We start from the raw sequence: 20848 nt of genomic DNA, 5'->3' as shown, positions 1-20848 counted from the left end.
GTTGATAGTATTGTGGGATATACTAACTGTATAAAGGCATTTTCTCTACCAGGTTTACTAGTCAAGCTCTTTTCTTCTTAAATCTCATGTCTTGAGATATTGTGGGGTGCCAAATCAGTTAATTTACAAATATTTACTGGATCCACACCATATAATGTGTATCATGTTGGCAATAAATAATGTTTGTATATAAGTAATGGTAGAACAGATTCTACTAGCAGAAACAAGAAAAAGGCCCTCAAACATAGCATTAAGGAAATGTCATTCCATGCTACTGTGATCATATAATTTTTAAAGTATTTATCTCATCACAAAATAGTATGCTATCAGGGGTTCTAACAGATATTCTGGAAGAACTCAACTATGAAGCAGTAGGTGTATAATAAACTGGCTAAAGCTGAGATGTCTAGAAATCTCTTGTTCCCAATCCAGAGGATAAATTGTTGTGCATTTGACTATATATTAAACTTGTATAATAATATTTAAAAAAAAGAAAATGGACTTTGAGAATTCACTCATAATTTGGCTCCCTGTTTGTCTGTTATTGGTGTATATGAATGCTTGTGATTTTTGCACGTTGATTTTGTATCCTGAGACTTTGTTGAAGTTGCTTATCAGCTTAAGGAGATTTTGGGCTGAGATGATGGGGTTTTCTAAATATACAATCATGTCATCTGCAAACAGGGACAATTTGACTTCCTCTTTTCCTAATTGAATAGCCTGTATTTCTTTCTCCTGCCTGATTGCCCTGGCCAGAACTTCCAACACTATGTTGAATAGGAGTGGTGAGAGAGGGCATCCCTGTCTTGTGCCAGTTTTCAAAGGGAATGCTTCCAGTTTCTGCCCATTCATTATGGCATTGGCTGTGGGTTTGTCATAAATAGCTCTTATTATTTTGAGATACATCCCATGAATACCTAGTTTATTGAGAGTTTTTAGCATGAAGGGCTGTTGAATTGTGTCAAAGGCCTTTTCTGCATCTATTGAGATAATCATGTGGTTTTTGTCTTTGATTCTGTTTATATGATGGATTATGTTTATTGATTTGCATATGTTGAACCAGCCTTGTATCCCAGGGATGAAGCCAACTTGATCATGGTGGATAAGCTTTTTGATGTGCTGCTGGATTCAGTTTGCCAGGATTTTATTGAGGATTTTTGCGTCGATGTTCATCAGGGATATTGGTCTAAAATTCTCTTTTGTTTTGCTTTGTCTCTGCCATGCTTTGGAATAAGGATGATGCTGGCCTCATAAAATGAGTTAGGGAGGATTCCCTCTTTTTCTATTGATTGGAATGGTTTCAGAAGGAATGGTACCAGCTCCTCTTTGTACCTCTGGTAGAATTCGGCTGTGAATGCCTCTGGTCCTGGACTTTTTTGGGTTGGTAGCATATTCATTATTGCCTCAATTTCAGAGCCTGTTATTGGTCTATTCAGGGATTCAACTTCTTCCTGGTTTAGTCTTGGGAGGGTGTATATGTCGAGGAATTTATCCATTTTTCTAGATTTTCTAGTTTATTTGCGTTGAGGTGTTTATAGTATTCTCTGATGGTACTTTGTATTTCTGTGGGATCGGCAGCCAACAGACACATGAAAAAATACTGATCATCACTGGCCATCAGAGAAACGCAAATCAAAACCACAATGAAATACCATCTCACAACAGTTAGAATGCCAATCATTAACAAGCCAGGAAACAAAAGGTGCTGGAGAGGATGTGGAGAAATAGGAGCACTTTTACACTGTTGGTGGGACTGTAAACTAGTTCAACCATTGTGGAAGACAGTGTGGCGATTCCTCAAGGATCTAGAACTAGAAATTCCATTTGACCAAGCCATCCCATTACTGAGTATATACCCAAAGGATTATAAATCCTGCTGCTATAAAGACACATGCACACATATGTTTATTGTGACACTATTCACAATATCACAGACTTGGAACCAACCCAAATGTCCATCAATGATAGACCTGATTAAGAAAATGTGGCACATATACACCATGGAATAGTATGCAGCCATAAAAAAGGATGAGTTCATGTCCTTTGCAAGGACATGGATGAAGCTGGAAACCATCATTCTCAGCAAACTATGGCAAGGACAAAAAACTAAACACCGCATGTTCTCACTCATAGGTGGGAACTGAACAATGAGAACACTTGGACACAGCATGGGGAACATCACACACGGGGGCCTGCCGTGGGGTGGGGGGAGGGGGGAGGTGTAGCATTAGGAGATATACCTAGAGTAAATGATGAGTTAATGGGTGCAGCATACCAAAAGGGCGCATGTATACATATGTAACAAACCTGCACGTTGTGCATATGTACCCTAGAACTTAAAGTATAATAATAATAAAAAAGAAAATGGACTTTGAATCTTGACACAGTTTATAAAACAGGATTTCTGGATCTGTACTGTCCTTGGCTTGTGAAATTCTCATAGCACTGTGCTGATCAGCAAGGGGCCCAGAATTCTTCATGGTTTCTGATTCTTAAGAAAGTAAAAAAGTCAGGGATGGAAGCAAGACTTGGCACTGGATTATAAATTTGAAAGCATTCTATATATCAGGGAATGGAGGCAGCCTAATTTCTAGGATTGGAAACGTAGGGTACTTGACTGATTGAAGAGTAAGGGTTGATAGAATTGTGTGTTAGGGATTTTAAAACCTTCATTGTAAAGTGGTTGCAACCGGAATCAGTTCAAGGCTTCAGATGTCAAAAGAAAAACTGGAGGTAGGCTTGGATCATTAGACTGCAAAGCACTTTGCTGGTCCGCGTTTGAGAATCAAAATTGCCCTTTGCTAAGGATATTGTCCTGAATATCAGAGTCCATTTTTCCAAAGCTTGGCCCTGATAATGCTGTGCACATGACTATCTCGTTCTGTTTTATGAAATGCCCATATTTCCATTGTAAGGTACTGAAAGAGAAATGTGAAAAAGCAATAAGAATACTTGAAAGATAGAAACAGATTATGAACCTCCTGATGTGATCTCTTTTGAGGTGAGTGGTGGCTATTCTCAATAGGTCCTGACCCAAATTCTCAGCCCCAAGATGAAGCTCAAAATTACCTAAAGAATTGATGAAAAGCAAACATTTTCTGTAGTCCCACCTTGAGAACTGGGTTTTTTTTTTCCAAAGGGAAGGGAATAACTTTTATTGAGCTTCAGGTGAATGCCAGTTCATTCCATACACATACATTATTGCTTCTTACCCTAGAAGCAACTTATTGCTTTTCACATATTTGGGAAACAGAGACTTAGTAAGCTTCTTAGGAGATGCAGTAATGAAGTAAAACTTCCTTGCCCTTCCAGCTGGATTTTAGTCACTGGAAAGCTATTTTCTTATATATTAATCTTATAACTGGTCACTTACTGAACCTGTTTGTTGCAAACAACTGTTTAGGGGAAGCTATAATGTGATGGGGGTCTGGACGTTTCTTTGTTTGGTATAGATATCAAAACTCAATTACTTGAAATGAAAGGCCACAAATAAATGTCTTTATGCAGACAGGGGTCTTCCAGGATCATTCGGCCTTGAGGATCCACAAATAAAAAGTTGATGGGGAAGGAAGGAATGGAATATTTTTGGCCCCTCCTGAGTGTACTGCTGTTTTTATTTTACTCTCAGAGCTCAGTATGACCATTATTATTATATCTTAACAGGTCACCAAAGGGGCAGGGTGCTAATCAGTTCACCCCTCAGTCTCTTGTGTAGTGCCTGTCATGTAGAATGTGCCTCATCAATTATGTGTTGACTGCACAAACAAAAAAAAAAAACATGTCAAGGAACAATGCAGTGTTGGATGGCATAGAACCTGTGCTCGTGATTGATGTGGGAAACAGTTTATGCACCAGAGACTGGGGACAGGATGGGCCATTTGTTAAAGTTCACAAGGCACTTCAAGATCATAGTGAGTCTGGGCTGAATCTGGGAGTCAAGATCTGAGAGCATCTTCTTAAGTTATGACTGAGAGGTGCCCCATCTGGGATTTTGGTAAGACTCGTATGCTGTATCCTGGAAACTCCAAAGCCCTCAATGAGGTAGTGAGAGTGCACGAGAGGGTTGGGACTATGGGAGAAGCACTGGGATTTATCGACTGTTGGTTGTAACTAGAACAGGCCTTGGCTAGGGGGAGGGAAGAATTCCACGCTCATTTCTTGCAATTTGAAGCAATTTTATGGTAAGCCTTAAGGTTCAACAGGACCAGAGGTCAGAGGAATTTTACCTATTGGGAATAATGGTTACTTTGGAACTTGACTTGGGGACACAAACATCATTAGAGCTTAGAGAGTGGAGGTAAATGGATTCTTGCAATTCAGATGCCAATTAATATTTTTAATTTGTAACTCTTTGAAACTGTGCTTCATCCCCTCACCAATAATATTTTTTAATTGAGTCACTAAGTATTTTTTTTGTTTGTTTTTAAAACAGCAATAGAAAAGAAATTAAGAGAATAAAAGGAGTCTGAAGTAAATGCTTTTGAAAACCTGAATTAAACAAATGATTATCTAGGAAAATCTTAACACTTGAGAGTTAAAAATTCTCAGTAAATAAATTGCCCAGAATAATTTGTGGGATTTATTAAAGATCTAACTTCTCTTATCTACCAACATACCCCACCCCCTTCAGGGTTATAGCACTTTTTAAACTGGAATCTGTTAATCTGTCATCACCTCTGCTGGAAACTGAACTCCTTCCAGAGAGAAGAAAGGAGTTTATGTAGTGAGAGAGGGGCAAGCTACAAGTTCAACTCGTTACCTTTAACCTGCACATTACTGCAGGTGAGTCATACAATTGTCTCACTGAATGAAGGCAGGTGTTGGGGGTCTTTCCCAACCAGAAAGCTGTTAGCCCAGGACCTGATGCTATCTCTTGCTTGGATAAATTTCTTCAGCCACCTATATGAAGGCCCAAGTGGTTTCCATTCTGACAACCACAGTCCTATGTTACACACCTTCAATTGGCTAAATAAAAACTTATGTTTTGACTAATAGCTTCTAGCAGGGTGAAGAGGTCAAAGCAGTGAGGAGTAACTAGCCATGACTCTGAAAAATGGCAGACACTGAAGCAGAAGCACAACCAAGAGACAGAAATGTCCTGTAAATTAAGTGAGGAAAGTATTACAAGGAGGAGGAAGTGATCAATTGTGTCAAATTCTACTTTTCAGTCAAGTAAGACCAGCCTGAGAAATAATCACTAGGTTTAACAATATGCAGGTTATTTGGGGATCTTGAGCTATTTCCATGGAGTGGGGGATAAAAGCTTGACTAGGGTGGGTTCAAGAAAAAAATGAGAGTACATAAGTGAACAAATCAAGACCACATAATGATTTTTGAGGAAGTTTGGTGTACAGAGATGATGCAGTAGGTGGAGTGGGTTGTACAGTTAAGGTAGGGTGTTTTGTTTCTTTCTTGTTGGTTTTGTTGTTGTTGTTGCAAGGGAGACTTGTGGAATCTTTGTGTACTGATGGGAATCATCCAGTACATAAAGGTAAATTGATGATGTGGCAAAGAGCACAGACAGCATTGCTGGGACCATGCATTGAATAGTCAAGAAGGGGTGTAATCTAGTGGCCAACGGTAGGTATGGGTTTTCATAGGAATGTAGAGAGTTTATCCATAGTGATGAAAGGGAAAGCAGAGTATCAAGTTGCAGATGCATGGAAGTGAGAAGTTTTTAAAGGCTATTCCTTTACTTTCATGTTCTCAGTGTCATCAGTTGAGACTGTGGCTGATATGGTTTGGCTGTGTCCTTACCCAAATCTCATCTTGAATTCCCACATGTTGTGGGAGGGACCCGTTAGGAGGTAATTGAATCATGGGGGCAGTTCTTTCCTGTGCTGTTCTTCATGATAATGAATAAGTCTCACAAGATCTGATGGTTTTAAAAAGAGAAGTTTCCCTGCACAAGCTCTCTTCTCTTGTCTGCCACTATGTGAGATGTGCCTTTCATCTTCAGCTGTGATTGTGAGGCCTCCCCAGCCACAAGAAACTGTAAGTCCATTAAACCTCTTTCTGTTGTAAATTGTCCAGTCTCGGGTATGTCTTTATTAGCAGCATGAGGACAGACTAATACAGTGGGTATTCCAGTAGTAAATGGAATTCTGCAAATGATAAGGTGTGAACTGCAATGGAGTGAGTAGACAGGGGAAGTGCAGAAAGTTGCACTGCCATATACTTGACACTATTCTAGGCACAGGAGATGCAGTCATGGGAACACACATTTGGAGCATATGTTCACTCATGGGTGTTAGTTTGGTAACAAGGTGGCGTAGGAGGAAGTATGTGGTACCTGGTTCCCTTGACCGGCTTCGGGGCAAAGGATACCTATTCTGATAAAACACAGGCCTTGGCCTCCAGATAAAACAAAACTCATTCTGACTACTCCTCATCTGGAGGCATGGGGATGGAGGATGGGGAGGGGATGGTGTTGGAACACTGAGGGGCCTAGTGGCCTATTTCTCTGCAGCTGAGAGATAAGGTATTTTCCTCCTAAGAGTCAGCCCCTCTCCAACAGATACTCCACTAACCTTTGCTGTCAAATGTCTGGCTCACCCTCCTACTCTGTCTGGCTTCTGGTTGCTATGGCAATGTGTCCAGGAGCACTGCTCTCCCAGTGTAAATGAGTGGGAGCCTGTTAATGTAGACAGGGGTGCATTGTGGGACCAGGGGAAAATCCTTGAAGGCAATAATAGCCTAATACACTTAGGTACTTCAGTGACTAACAGCTTTCAAAGCCCCTCCACCAGGCATTTACACCACCACTGCCAGAAGGCAGGGGAGGTAAATTGCAAACAGGGAGCCTTAGAGCACATAGCAGAGGCTTTCATTAGTGTCATTTCCCAGAAAAATCCAGTGTGTTAGGAAGTCTTCACTTGCTCATGTTCCAAGGTAGTCTCAGTGTGCTCTCACTAGTAGTGCTCTGTCTTACAGAATTGCTGAGCACCAAGCACTATGAGAACCTTAAGTATATGCCAGGTAATTTAATAGGAACTAGGGATACTCAGTGAAAATGACATGTTCACAGGTGTGGGTTTGTCGTCATGGCAGGGTTAGCCTAAGGGCACAAGTTCTGATGTCAACCCAGACATTCATCTTTAATAGGGGACAGCCTTCCTCATTCTAACTTTTTTCTTCCATGAAGCATACAGGGGCAAAGATAAAGGTAGGGCTGAGGTTTGTCTAAAGTTCTGAGGTGCTTATTTTCCCCTTCTCTGTAGCTGAGACCCTCTTTGTCTTAACTCCATCAGTCTTGCTCAGCCATGCAAGCTTCCAGACCCATAATCAGCTTTGAGTATCAGTGTCCAGAAGCACAATGGCCTAGTCTGCCTGGTGGCTGGTTTCTATAGCAATCCTGCCAAGAGCTTTTTTCCCTAAATGAAATAAAAAGAGAGAATAAAAGAAGGGTGGGTGGCTGCCCATGTGGAGAAGGGAAAATAATTAAAATTTGAATATCCTAATTAGACTAACTGATAGACTTTTAAATTTAACAGGCCACAAATACAGGCCAAGGCAGCAGGGGAACTGACTGGGAAAAGAGAGTTTCAAACAAGTAAAAAAAAAAATGCCCTTTTTCATTTAAGAAACTTCTATGGAAAGTTGAAAGATAAGGAAATGTGTCACTAGATTAGGAGTAGGACTCAGGATGAACTCAGTAATTGGTACTGCCCATTGAAAAATCCAGACTCAAATCCATCTACTTGGAGCATGTTGGCAGGAAGGTGTCCAGAATTACTTCCCTGGGAAGAGAATGGGCCTGGTGCCCCTCCCTCTGGTCTGGTGGCTGAGGGTACATGCCAAGGTGTTGACACCCAGGCCCATAGCGCCCATGGCATCCAGGTCGGGGATAGTTTGAAGCACTCAGCTACTCTGTTGTCTACTTGTTTGTAGGTTAAGATCTGCCTCATTTTCCTTCTTTCAGCATCTCTTCTGCAGTTAACATTCTGGACTCTATAATCAGCTTAGATGTCTAATGACTCATCATGGCTTAATAGGTCCTAGCTGCTGGTTGCTATGGTGATGCAGCCAGGAGCTCTGCTCACTAAGTTAAAATAAGAGAGAACCTGAGGTGGGTAGGGGACAGTGCAGGGAGAGGGTCAAGATTGAAGGTGACAATAAGCTAATTACACTAATTGATAGCTTTTTCTAACTAAAATATCCATAAATACATGCCCCAGGACAAAGGTAGAGGGAGCTTACCTGGGAAAATAAAGTATCAAGCACAAAAGAAGAGGCTTTCGCTACAGCCATTTCCAAGAAGCAATCCAGAGGATAAGAAAAGGCTCTATCTGCTCAAGATCAGAGGATACGGGTCTTATGAACACACAGTCATGTTAGGGGATCAAGGTCCTCATTTGTGGGAGTCTAAGACTTCTCCCTTGTCAGTCATGGCTGCTTAGATGGGGAACTGAGGCTCAGAAGTGGAAAGGGACTAGAACTAAATCACATGCTAGGTTAGCAGCAGAGCTGTGAGTGGAGTTCAAGGCCCTGCATCACCATGTCAGAGCTCTCTCTCTGACTCCCATCGACCTCCAGATAGAACCCAGGATGGTCAACCCCCGCCCCCCATTTTACAGATGAAATGAATCCCAGAAAAGGGAAGAAAACTGGCCAGGGTAACACAGTTTCTTCTGAAATGAGAACACAGTTCTCCTGGCTTTTAAAGTGGATCAGGTAAATGGCCAGTCAGTCAAAAATTAGGTCAGAGACAATGGAAACAGACAAAGGAGCACCATACTTTACAGGAATTCTACACAATTTATAAGCCAGGGTAAAAAAAGATTCTCAGTGATTCTAAGTGATGGGAAGAAATGGGTGCCATTAAAAGAGAGAGAGGGGAAAAGGAACAAAGGAGAAAAAGGGACACAGAAAAGCTCCCCTGTATACGACTGTGATTTTCTTTGGAAACAGTCCCTTCCTTGAGCAACAGGTAGAAATAAGATTCAGAGGTTTTCCTCCCAGAATATCTTGCTAGAGAACCTAGGGGAGTGTGATGCTAATTTGCAGGTGTCTGAGCAGCCTCTCATCAGCGTATAGATAAAAAAAAAAATTAGTACATCAGAGTGAAGAAATGACATCCCCAATATCAGACTCTGCTTTAAGGTCAAAGCTGTTAGTGGATCCCAGCCCTTAGGATGACCTTGACAGGGCTCTGTCTAGCAGGAGTGGAGGCAGCAGGAAGAGCACTCTCTATGTGCCTGGCACTTCCATGAGGAGATTATGATTACACCTGGGAGTCAGGGGACATGATGAGAGAGAGGCATCCCCCATGCACTTTCCTGAAAGAACCTGGTTCCCCTTCCTCTGGTCTGTGGGCAAAGGATACATGGCTTCAACCATTAAGACTTTAAAGTACAGCCGGAGAAAATAATGACTGTGGTCAGTATTGACACCGAAACAGTTAAAAGCACTCGCTCCCTCCCACCGTCCGCTGACGTAGAGGGCCGGAGGTGGCGGCGGCGGCGGCGGAAGCGGCAGCGGCAGCAGCGGCGGCGGCGGCGGCAGCGGCGGCTGCTGCGGCGGCGGCCGCGGCGGCGGCGGCGGTGGCGGCGGCGGCGGCGGCGGATGCCTGCGTCCCAGGCTCGCGGGCGGCAGGCCCGGGTGAGTGCACACCCGGCGCGCGGCCGGGCTCCCGGATGTGTTACCTGGTCCCGCTGCAGCCGAGATGCCAGGGGAGCGGGGCCTTCCACACCCCTCCGTGTGTGCGTGACTTGTGCATCACGGACAATTTTGCTGAGGGAGATTTCACTATGGCGGATTATGCCTTGTTAGAAGATTGCCCTTACGTGGACGATTGTGTCTTTGCTGCTGAATTTATGACCGATGATTATGTTCGTGTGACTCAGCTTTACTGTGATGGGGTGGGTAAGCAATATAAAGATTATGTCCAAAGTGAGAGGAATTTAGAATTTGACATCTGCAGTATATGGTGTAGTAAACCAATTTCTGTCCTGCAAGATTATTGTGATGCCATTAAAATAAACATCTTCTGGCCACTTCTGTTTCAACATCAAAACAGTTCTGTAATATCACGATTGCATCCCTGTGTGGACGCCAACAATTCACGTGCTTCCGAGATAAATTTGAAGAGATTACAACATCTTGAGTTGATGGAAGATATTGTGGATTTGGCAAAGAAAGCTGCTAATGATTCACTCCTTATTGGAGGCTTATTGAGAATTGGTTATAAAATAGAAAATAAAATCTTGGCAATGGAAGAAGCTCTGAATTGGATAAAATATGCAGGCGATGTAACAATTCTAACTAAATTAGGATCAATTGACAATTGTTGGCCTATGTTAAGTATTTTCTTTACTGAATACAAGTACCACATAACTAAAATTGTAATGGAAGACTGCAATTTGCTTGAAGAACTTAAAACCCAAAGTTGTATGGATTGTATAGAGCAAGGAGAACTAATGAAAATGAAAGGAAATGAAGAGTTTTCCAAAGAAAGATTTGATATAGCTATTATCTATTACACCAGAGCCATTGAATATAGACCTGAAAACCACCTTCTTTATGGTAACCGAGCTCTTTGTTTTCTTCGTACTGGACAGTTTAGAAATGCACTTGGTGATGGAAAGAGAGCCACTATTCTGAAGAACACTTGGCCAAAGGGTCATTATCGTTATTGTGATGCTCTTTCTATGCTGGGGGAATATAACTGGGCCCTGCAAGCAAACATAACAGCTCAAAAACTCTGTAAAAATGACCCTGAGGGAATCAAGGATCTAATTCAGCAGCATGTAAAGTTACAAAAACAAATAGAAGACCTACAAGGTCGAACAGCAAATAAGAATCCAATTAAAGCCTTTTATGAAAACAGGGCCTACACACCTAGGAGTTTATCAGCACCTGTATTTAGTACTTCACTTAACTTTGTGGAGAAGGAAAGAGATTTCAGAAAAATTAATCACGAAATGGCTAACGGTGGTAATCAGAATCTAAAGGTGATGGATGAGGCATTGATGGTAGATGATTGTGACTGTCATCCTGAATTTTCACCACCATCAAGTCAGCCTCCGAAACATAAAGGAAAACAAAAATCTCGAAACAATGAATCAGAAAAGTTCAGTTCTAGTTCACAATTGACTTTACCAGCAGATTTGAAGAACATCTTGGAGAAACAGTTTTCTAAATCTTCCAGAGGTGCACACCAGGATTTTGCTAATATAATGACAATGCTGAGAAGCTTAATTCAAGATGGCTATACAGCCTTATTGGAGCAGCGTTGCCGCAGTGCCGCACATGCCTTTACAGAGTTGCTGAATGGTTTAGATCCTCAAAAAATAAAGCAATTGAATCTGGCCATGATTAACTATGTCTTGGTTGTCTATGGACTTGCCATTTCACTCCTTGGAATAGGACAGCCTGAAGAACTATCTGAAGCTGAAAACCAGTTTAAGAGGATTATTGAACACTACCACAATGAGGGACTTGATTGCTTGGCCTACTGTGGAATTGGAAAAGTATATTTGAAAAAAAACAGATTTCTAGAAGCTCTCAATCACTTTGAGAAAGCAAGAACCTTGATTTATCGTCTTCCTGGAGTGTTAACTTGGCCCACAAGTAATGTGATTATTGAAGAGTCTCAGCCAGAAAAAATAAAGATGCTGTTAGAGAAATTTGTTGAAGAATGCAAGTTCCCTCCAGTGCCAGATGCCATTTGTTGCTATCAGAAGTGCTGTGGATATTCTAAGATCCAGATATACATAACTGATCCAGACTTTAAGGGTTTTATACGCATCAGCTGTTGCCAGTACTGTAAAATAGAATTTCACATGAATTGCTGGAAGAAGTTAAAAACCACAACCTTTAATGATAAAATTGACAAGGATTTTCTACAAGGAATATGTCTTACCCCTGACTGTGAAGGTGTCATTTCTAAGATTATCATCTTCAGCAGTGGTGGTCAAGTTAAATGTGAATTTGAACACAAGGTCATAAAAGAAAAGGTTCCTCCAAGACCTATTCTGAAACAGAAATGTTCTAGCCTAGAGAAACTAAGACTGAAAGAAGACAAAAAATTGAAGAGAAAGATCCAAAAAAAAGAAGCAAAAAAATTAGCACAAGAAAGAATGGAGGAGGACTTAAGAGAAAGTAATCCACCCAAAAACGAAGAGCAGAAAGAAACTGTAGACAATGTTCAGCATTGTCAGTTCCTTGATGACAGAATTCTACAGTGTATAAAGCAGTATGCTGACAAGATTAAATCCGGCATATGGAATACAGCCACGCTTCTCAAAGAATTACTTTCTTGGAAAGTTTTGAGCACAGAGGACTATACAACCTGTTTTTCAAGCAGAAATTTTCTAAATGAAGCAGTGGACTATGTTATTCGTCACTTGATTCAAGAAAAGAACAGAGTAAAGACAAGAATATTTCTGCATGTTTTGAGTGAGCTTAAAGAAGTGGAGCCCAAATTAGCCGCCTGGATCCGAAAACTTAATAGCTTTGGCTTAGATGCCACAGGACCTTTCTTTTCTCGGTATGAAGCATCTCTTAAACAGCTTGATTTTAGCATCATGACTTTCCTCTGGAATGAGAAATATGGTCACAAACTAGACTCTATAGAAGGAAAGCAACTTGATTATTTCTTTGAGCCAACATCATCGAAGGAAGCCCGCTGTTTAATATGGCTGCTAGAAGAACACAGAGACAAGTTCCCAGCATTACATAGTGCTTTAGATGAATTCTTTGATATAATGGACAGCCGCTGTACTGTGTTAAGGAAACAAGACAGTGGCGAAGCACCGTTTAGTTCTACCAAGGTGAAAAACAAAGGCAAGAAAAAGAAACCAAAGGATTCAAAGCCTATGTTAGTTGGGTCTGGAACAACTTCAGTAACTCCAAATAATGAGATCATCACTTCAAGTGAAGACCATAGCAATCAAAATTCAGATACTGCAGGCCCATTTGCAGTGCCTGACCATCTTCGGCAAGACGTAGAAGAATTTGAAGCTCTCTATGACCAACACAGTAATGAATATGTTGTCCGCAATAAGAAGCTATGGGACATGAACCCAAAACAAAAATGTTCAACTCTATATGATTACTTCTCTCAGTTGTTGGAGGAACATGGTCCCTTGGACATGAGTCACAAGATGTTCTCTGAAGAATATGAGTTTTTCCCAGAAGAAACTCGACCAATACTAGAAAAAGCAGGAGGTTTAAAATCTTTTCTCTTGGGATGTCCCCGTTTTGTTGTGATTGACAACTGTATTGCATTGAAGAAAGTTGCATCACGGCTCAAGAAAAAAAGAAAGAAGAAAAACATTAAAACAAAAGTAGAAGACATTTCAAAAGCAGGAGAGTATTTACAAGTTAAACTACCACTTAATTCAGCTGCTAGGGAATTTAAACCAGATGTAAAGTCTAAACCAGTATCAGGTTCATCTTCAGCACCAGCTTCTGAAGATGTGAAACCCAAACCTTTGTCTGCAAATTCTCCCAAGCCAGCTTGTGAAGATGTGAAGGCCAAACCAGTATCCGATAATTCTTCTAGACAAGTTTCTGAGGATGGGAAACCCAAAGGGTTCTCTTCTAATTCTCCCAAACCAGGCTCTGAGGATGCAAATTACAAGCGAGTCTCCTCTAATTCTCCCAAACCGGTTCTTGAGGATGTGAAACCAACTTATTGGGCTCAATCCCATTTGGTCACAGGATACTGTACGTATCTTCCTTTCCAGAGATTTGATAACACCCGGACATCGCCAGCATACATAAATGTGTTACCAGGTTTGCCCCAGTACACCAGCATATATACACCCTTGGTCAGCCTTTCTCCTGAATATCAGCTACCAAGATCAGTACCAGTGGTGCCGTCTTTTGTAGCCAATGACAGAGCAGATAAAAATGCTACTGCCTATTTTGAGGGTCATCATTTGAATGCTGAGAATGCTGCTGGTCACCAGATTGCCTCCGAAACACAGATCCTTGAGGATTCTTCGTTAATATCTGTAAAGTCACAGTGCAGCACAGGTGATGCTCATACAGTCCTGAGTGAGTCTAACAGAAAAGATGGGCACTGTGGAAATTCTAACAACAAATGTGAAGTAATTCCAGAAAGCACCAGTGCAGTAACAAACATTCCACAGGTGCAGATGGTTGCCATACAGGTATCTTGGAACATAACACACCAAGAAGTCAATACTGAGCCATATAATCCTTTTGAGAAACAACAAGGGGAAATTTCACGGATTGAAAAGGAGTACCAAGTATTACAAGACCAACTTAAAGAAGCGTATGAAAATTATGAGCAGATAAAACTTAAGGGCTTAGAAGAGACCAGGGACCTGGAAGAAAAGTTGAAAAGGCACTTAGAAGAAAACAAGATATCAAAGACAGAATTAGATTGGTTGCTTCAAGATTTGGAAAGAGAAATTAAAAAATGGCAAGAGGAAAAAAAAGAAATCCAAAAAACACTAAAATCACTGAAGAAGAAAATTAAAAAGGTTTCAAATGCCAATGAAATGTATACCCAGAAAAATGATGGAAACGATAAGGAACATGAATTACATCTGGATCAGTCCCTTGAAATCAGCAACACACTTACAAACGAGAAAATGAAAATAGAAGAGTGTATAAAGAAAGGGAAAAAGGATTATGAAGAGAGTCATCAGAGAGCTGTGGCTGCAGAGGTATCCGTACTTGAAAACTGGAAGGAGAGTGAAGTGTATAAGCTACAGATCATGCAGTCACAAGCAGAAGCCTATCTGAAGAAGCTGGAGCTGATTAGCCATGATCCTGCAGCATATCCTGACATGGAGTCCGATATATGTTCATGGGAATTGTTTCTTTCTAATGTTACAAAAGAAACTGAGAAAGCAAAGTATCAGTTTGAAGAACAAATTAAGGCAATTAAAAATGGTTCTCGGCTCAGTGAACTTTCTAAAGTGCAGATTTCTGAGCTTTCATTTCCTGCCTGTAACACGGTTCATCCTGAGTTACTCCCTGAGTCTTCAGGCCATGATGACCAAGGGTTTATGACTTCCGCAAGCGATGTGACTGGAAACCAAGCAGCACTTCACAGGGATCCCAGTGTGTTCTCTGCCGGCGATTCCCCAGGGGAGGCTCCTTCTGCACTGTTGCCAGGGCCACCCCCCTCTCAGCCTGAAGCCACTCAGCTGCCAGGGCCAAAAGGGGCTGGCCAGGCAGCTCTGTCAGAGCAAAGCCCTGCGGCTGATCAGAAGCAGCCTGTTCCTCCAGGGTGTGCTGCATGTTCAAGCCAGTCTCCAAAAAAGCCATTCAATAGTATTATTGAGCACCTGTCAGTGGTATTCCCATGTTACAACAGCACTGAGCTTGCTGGTTTTATTAAAAAAGTGAGAAGCAAAAACAAGAACTCACTTTCAGGATTGAGTATTGATGAAATTGTCCAAAGAGTGACAGAACACATTCTAGATGAACAGAAAAAGAAAAAGCCAAACCCAGGAAAGGACAAGAGGACTTATGAGCCCAGCTCTGCCGCCCACGTGACCAGGTCCTCCCAGGGCCCACCCTTGGCGGTTGTTGCACCATCACCCAAAACCAAGGGGCAGAAAGCAGAAGATGTCCCTGTGAGGGTTGCACTGGGTGCAAGTTCCTGTGAAATATGTCACGAGGTGTTCAAATCAAAAAACGTGCGTGTGCTCAAATGTGGGCACAAGTATCACAAAGGGTGTTTTAAGCAGTGGCTTAAAGGGCAGAGCGCTTGCCCAGCCTGCCAGACTTGTGATCTCCTGTCAGAAGAGTAGCCTGCACCTTCTGGAAGAGGCTGGCCCAGTGAGAATCGGGAGCCGCCTTCCTGCTCCTCTAGGTAGTCACACTTCACTAAAGCGTCATCCGCCAGCGTGTTGAATCGGAAGAATGACAATTTCCTACCATTGGTGTAAAAAGCAAACATCTGAAGACCCTTGTGCATTGTGTGTTACAAAGCTAAATCCATGGAAATCGTTAATATCATTGATATTAAGTAATTTCCCCACTCTGAGTGAATACTTTGATGATGGCCAAGCAGTGGCTAACAAAATGATGGCTACCACACTCATGGGTCGCTTGGGCTGTGCAGGGCTCTTTGAGGTGGGTAGTTTCTTTTGGAAAGTACTGTGAGCGCCTCAAAGCAGTATTCTAGTGATAAGAATTCTTAACATATTCGGCCGGGCGCGGTGGCTCACGCCTGTAATCCCAGTACTTTGGGAGGCCGAGGCGGGCGGATCACCTGAGATCAGGAGTTTGAGACCAGCCTCAACATGGAGAAACCCCGTCTCTACTAAAAACACAAAATTAGCCAGGCATGGTGGTGCATGCCCATAATCCCAGCTACTCAGGAGGCTGAGGCAGGAGAATTGCTTGAACCTCGGAGGCGCAGGTTGTGGTGAGCCGAGATTGCGCCATTGCACGCCAGCCTGGGCAACAAGAGCGAAACTCTGTCTCAAAAAAAAAAAGAATTTTTAACATATTCAAGCGCCCCATGTTTGTTCCCCTTTTGTGTTTGAAAAACCTGTTCAGTAGCTCCGCAAGAGAGATGATACTGACTTTTAAAATTTTTCACAAGAGTCTGTATTCCTGAAAATATGCCTATATTTTTCCTCAAAGATTCTGCATTTTAAGAATGGGCATAAGCAAACTACATTTTAATAATTTATAGTTAATGTTAAAATATTGGCTGATTGAGACCAAAAGATTCAAATCTCCTCTTTGTGAAATCCCAGCTGCATTTCATTTTTTATTATTTTATGTTCCCCTCAATAGATTGTTTTAAGTGTTTACTTTTCATCTTTTATAGATGTAATCTGATTTTCAAAAATCGATAACAGTTTTTAATTAGTATTGACTAAGACTTTTTCCCCCTGGAATCGAGGCTCTGTGTCCGTCATCCCAGCCCCCAGTTGGAGACTGCTCTTTGAACTCTGCTGCCCTCCTCAGCAGCTTCTGTCCTCTTCTGTGAGTCAGTCAGCAAGTTCTTGGGATCCGCATCCAGCCGTGCTGAGCACACAACAGGCTGTGTATGGAAATGGCCACCATCATTCTCCTTCCCGACCCCACCACAAAAAGAGAAGCTGTGTCTTTAGACAACCCTGAGCTGTCTGTGTTACAATCATTCTGTGTTTGACATTTGTGTAAAGTAATGCATGCAATCTTGTACTGTGGCCTAAGAACAAAACTGTAACTGCATTTGAAACCATGAAAAAATTAGATATTGTTTTGTGACTTTTAGACAGTGATAAATGTAGAACCATGAATTCTGGACACATTCCATTTCTCTCCAACATGAAGGATCAAAAAATGTTTTTCAATGTGTTCTTTGTTCCACTGTAAACTTAGAGTCATGAGATTATGAGCTGATTTGGTCACCTTCCTCTGCCTTTGTTCACCGTGAGTTCTGATGTCTTAGTGACTTAGTTCAAAGAAGCTTACGTCTTAGTTTGAAACAGGTTCTCCACGGTGGTCCCCAAAACATTCTCTGCATATCCATAAGAATTGAGCGCTATGGGTGTTAACATGCAGAAAGATCAGTTTGCAGCAGCAAGTACAAAAGGAGAATAGGAATATCTGTCGAATGAGTGTGTTTTGTACATAACTTCAGATACTTGTGAACATGCCTTATATTTGTCCAACAACTGTCAGAATAAAGAACATTCTAAAACGAGCAAAAAAAAAAAAAAAAAAAAAAAAAAGAAAGAAAAAAGAAAGAGTTAAAAGCAAAAGGTGATAAGTTACCAGAGGTGCCCTGTAAAGAACTTTGCTGATGTGTGCAAAGGACCAGAAGGTTTACAATGATTACTTTAATAAAAATATTGGGAACATTTGAGGTTGGGAAAATCATGGAAACTGGTTCAGATTGAGGAGACTTAGAGTCAGCCAGAAAAATGATGGCCACAGAAAAGAAGAGACATAATGCAGGAAGGACTCTGCAAGGATTAGCTGAATATAGATATCTGGAGGGGTGGGGATAGCTGGAAGAAGGCCCTATGTGGATAACTGCAAGAGGGTTGGGGCTGTTAACAGAGAATGAAAAGGGTAAAAAAGAGAGGAGGAAGAAAAAGAGAGGAAGAAGGTAAAATAGAGAGAAAAAAAGATTAAGACAAAGACACAAAGATAATGATGAAGAAGAAATAAAGGATAAGGAGAAAGGAGAAGGAGATGGAGGTGAATGAAGAAAGAAGAGAAATGAAGGTTAGGAAAGTAGACAGAACCTTGTCCGTCACTGTGATACTTGTTTGAAAAATACCAGACACACAGCACAGTCTACTTTCACAGCAGCTAGGGCTAATCTACAGCTGTATATGTGTGTGCACACACATATGCACACTTCCATAGAAACGTGGTTGACACCCTGGATGTTACTTCTGTAGTTGAAAACAGACCCCTTCCCTCCATCCCTTGATCCCTACTTCTGCTCCAGTTATAGCCTCTTTCTAGAAATCTTTCTGGGTTTCTGGCCTATCCTCCTCCTGGTGGGCAGTACTGTTCCTTTTGCACACAAAGCAGAGCCATCGTGGAAAGGCAGTTCTGGAGAGCCCCATGAACAGGTGTGCAAACCAGGACCAGACAGATCTGGAAAAAGCAGACAGCTAGAGGTTGGTGCAAGGGGTACAGGCAGGTAAGCAGGGATGATCCACCAGACCAAAGGCAGGAGCTGCCTTCCCCTTTTTACTTCAGCATGGCTCAATAGCCTCACTCTTCAAAACCAGAAACAAATTGTCCATTTCAGGCCTTTCTTTTGGGAGGTATGATAAGAAAACAGCCAAGACCATGGTGACAGGAGATCCTCTTTCTCTCTAACTTGCAAATAGGGAAGAGATAGACATAGTCCATATGAGGCAGGACAATATGTTTAAGTGAGAACTTATGAGAAACAGTCCCACATTGCCTTTAAAATTCTGACAAAAAGTTGTCCCATAGGCCTCTGTGTTCACATGTGATAGTCTACCTTTCTCTTGGGAGGCCCTTGGGGGCCTTCAGTTGTCTGTAAATCAGAATTTCGGAGAACATCGGCTACCCTTAGAAAAGTCAGTGAGGTTTTGGTGCACTGAGTGTTCATTCATGAAGGACGGTTTGCTCTCACAATCTGGACCTTAATCTCCTTATTCTGGTTCCTAGGAAGGCATGGAGGAAACTCTCCTGCAGGCATCCCCAGTGGGGTATCTGCCCTATCTATTTCAAGAGTGAGGCCAATGGAAGGTTTTCTCTCATGCAGGGTGTAGAGTTGGAAGACCACACAGGGGCAGGTGTGAGATCATCTTGTAAGAAAACAAGCTTCTCCCTTGTCACCTGGAGAAACTTTTGCAAATCAATTTGCCATCTATTAATTTGCCATCACACTTCATATAAAAAAAGCATCTTCTGTGGGTTAATAGGGCATCAGTGGGCATCATTAGAGAGAAGTTGGGTGTGTGAGTAGCACTCATGAACCCAGGACTATCTCTGTATAGAACACAAGAAGTAATTTGTTAGCAAAACCTTTTGCAGCATCTTGTAACAGAGAGCAATGATAGTGCAAGATGGAAAATCCAGGAAAAGCAGTTTCACATGGTTCAGAGACAAGCACAAAGAAAATTAACACAGGAGTAGCATTCAGCACATTTAAAGAAAAAAAAAATGAACTATGTGGCTCTAAGGTAATCAAACCTATATCATCTGAGAAGCTACTTGCCCATTAGCTACTTAGCAGCCTTCTTGGTTATCAAATCAACAGATCAAAAAAAGATGAACTTCCAGTTCCAAAATGGCAGGATAGAAGCAAGCTGGCTTCACTCACCCTCCCTCCCTGAGAAAACCTAAATCAAACGTACAGTGTTGAGATTGTCACCAGCAATATCTGAGAACTCAAATATGAAGGTTAGGCAGTTCCAGGGGCACAGAGAAGTAAAAAAAAAAAAAATCCAAGCAGACAGAGATTTGGATTTCTATGTCTGCAACACATCAACCACAATCTGCCCTGCACCAATGATGCAGAAAAATTTCCCCAGACTTATGTGTTCTACACTGGAATACCTGAGATTGAGGCAGACAACCAGCTCCTCCACCATCTTGAGTTCTTGGCAGGAGAACCGTCCCTGCCTTAACCCACAGGATGCATCATGAGTGCCCATAAAAAGAAATCTCCCTGAGGACAGCCAGGCACAAAGGGTGGAAGTGGGACATTATCACCCACAGCCCTGAGAACTCTGCTGTGTTACTCAGACAAAAAGGACACCATTCAGAGTGGCTATTCAGCAGCACTATGCTGTAAGTGGTTCATTCCACAGGCCCACTCGGCACAACCCCCAGCCAGCCTTCCCACACTATCAGGTTATCCCATTTAGAACCTCCACCACTGGGGATGAGCAGTGCTGGGATCTGTTATGAAAGCTTAGGCAAACCTGGGCTTAAGGCATCATGTAGTGCCAAAAAGGAGGTAGTAACCCAGTGGTGGGGTGGGGGAGGGGCAGGTGTACAGAGAAAGAAATTGAAAAACTAAAACGAATCTCTAGCAAACAAATGCAATAAAAACCAAAACAAGCCAGACAGAGACGACTGGCATAAATAACTAATCTATCAATGCAAAGAAATAAACGTACATTCACAGGAAACAAAAGAAAACAGGGAACTGTGACCTCCACAGTCAAAGCAAGGATCTGGTGACTGACCTTAATGTGAGCTCTCCGACCAAAAATTCAAAATAGCAGTTTGAAGGAAACTCGATAATCTTCAAGATAATACAGAAAAGCAATTCAGAAACTTAGGAGAAAAATTTGACAAAGAAATTGAAATCATTTTTTAAAAATCAAATAAATTGTTGAACTATGGAATGCATTTGCTGACCTGAAAAATTCACTAGAGGTTCTTAACTGCAGAACGGATCATGCAGAGAAAGAAATCA

General features: G+C 41.8%; 1 long non-coding RNA gene and 1 pseudogene across 5 annotated transcripts in view; one reads left to right on the top strand and one right to left on the bottom strand.

The window, feature by feature from the left end:
* LOC107985664 (uncharacterized) overlaps positions 1-20848 on the bottom strand; it is a 270484-nt gene that overhangs the window by 36977 nt on the left and 212659 nt on the right. The gene's annotated exons all lie outside the window — the stretch shown is intronic.
* On the top strand, positions 13555-16096 carry TTC3P1 (tetratricopeptide repeat domain 3 pseudogene 1; annotated as a pseudogene). Its single transcript, NR_030737.1, has one exon. The product of NR_030737.1 is annotated as a tetratricopeptide repeat domain 3 pseudogene 1 (transcript).

The sequence above is a fragment of the Homo sapiens genome, chromosome X, assembly GCF_000001405.40.
Source record: "Homo sapiens chromosome X, GRCh38.p14 Primary Assembly".
Taxonomy (NCBI): Eukaryota; Metazoa; Chordata; class Mammalia; order Primates; family Hominidae; genus Homo; species Homo sapiens.
Note: the sequence above shows the minus strand (reverse complement) of the source record. Positions and strands in the feature narration are given on the sequence as shown.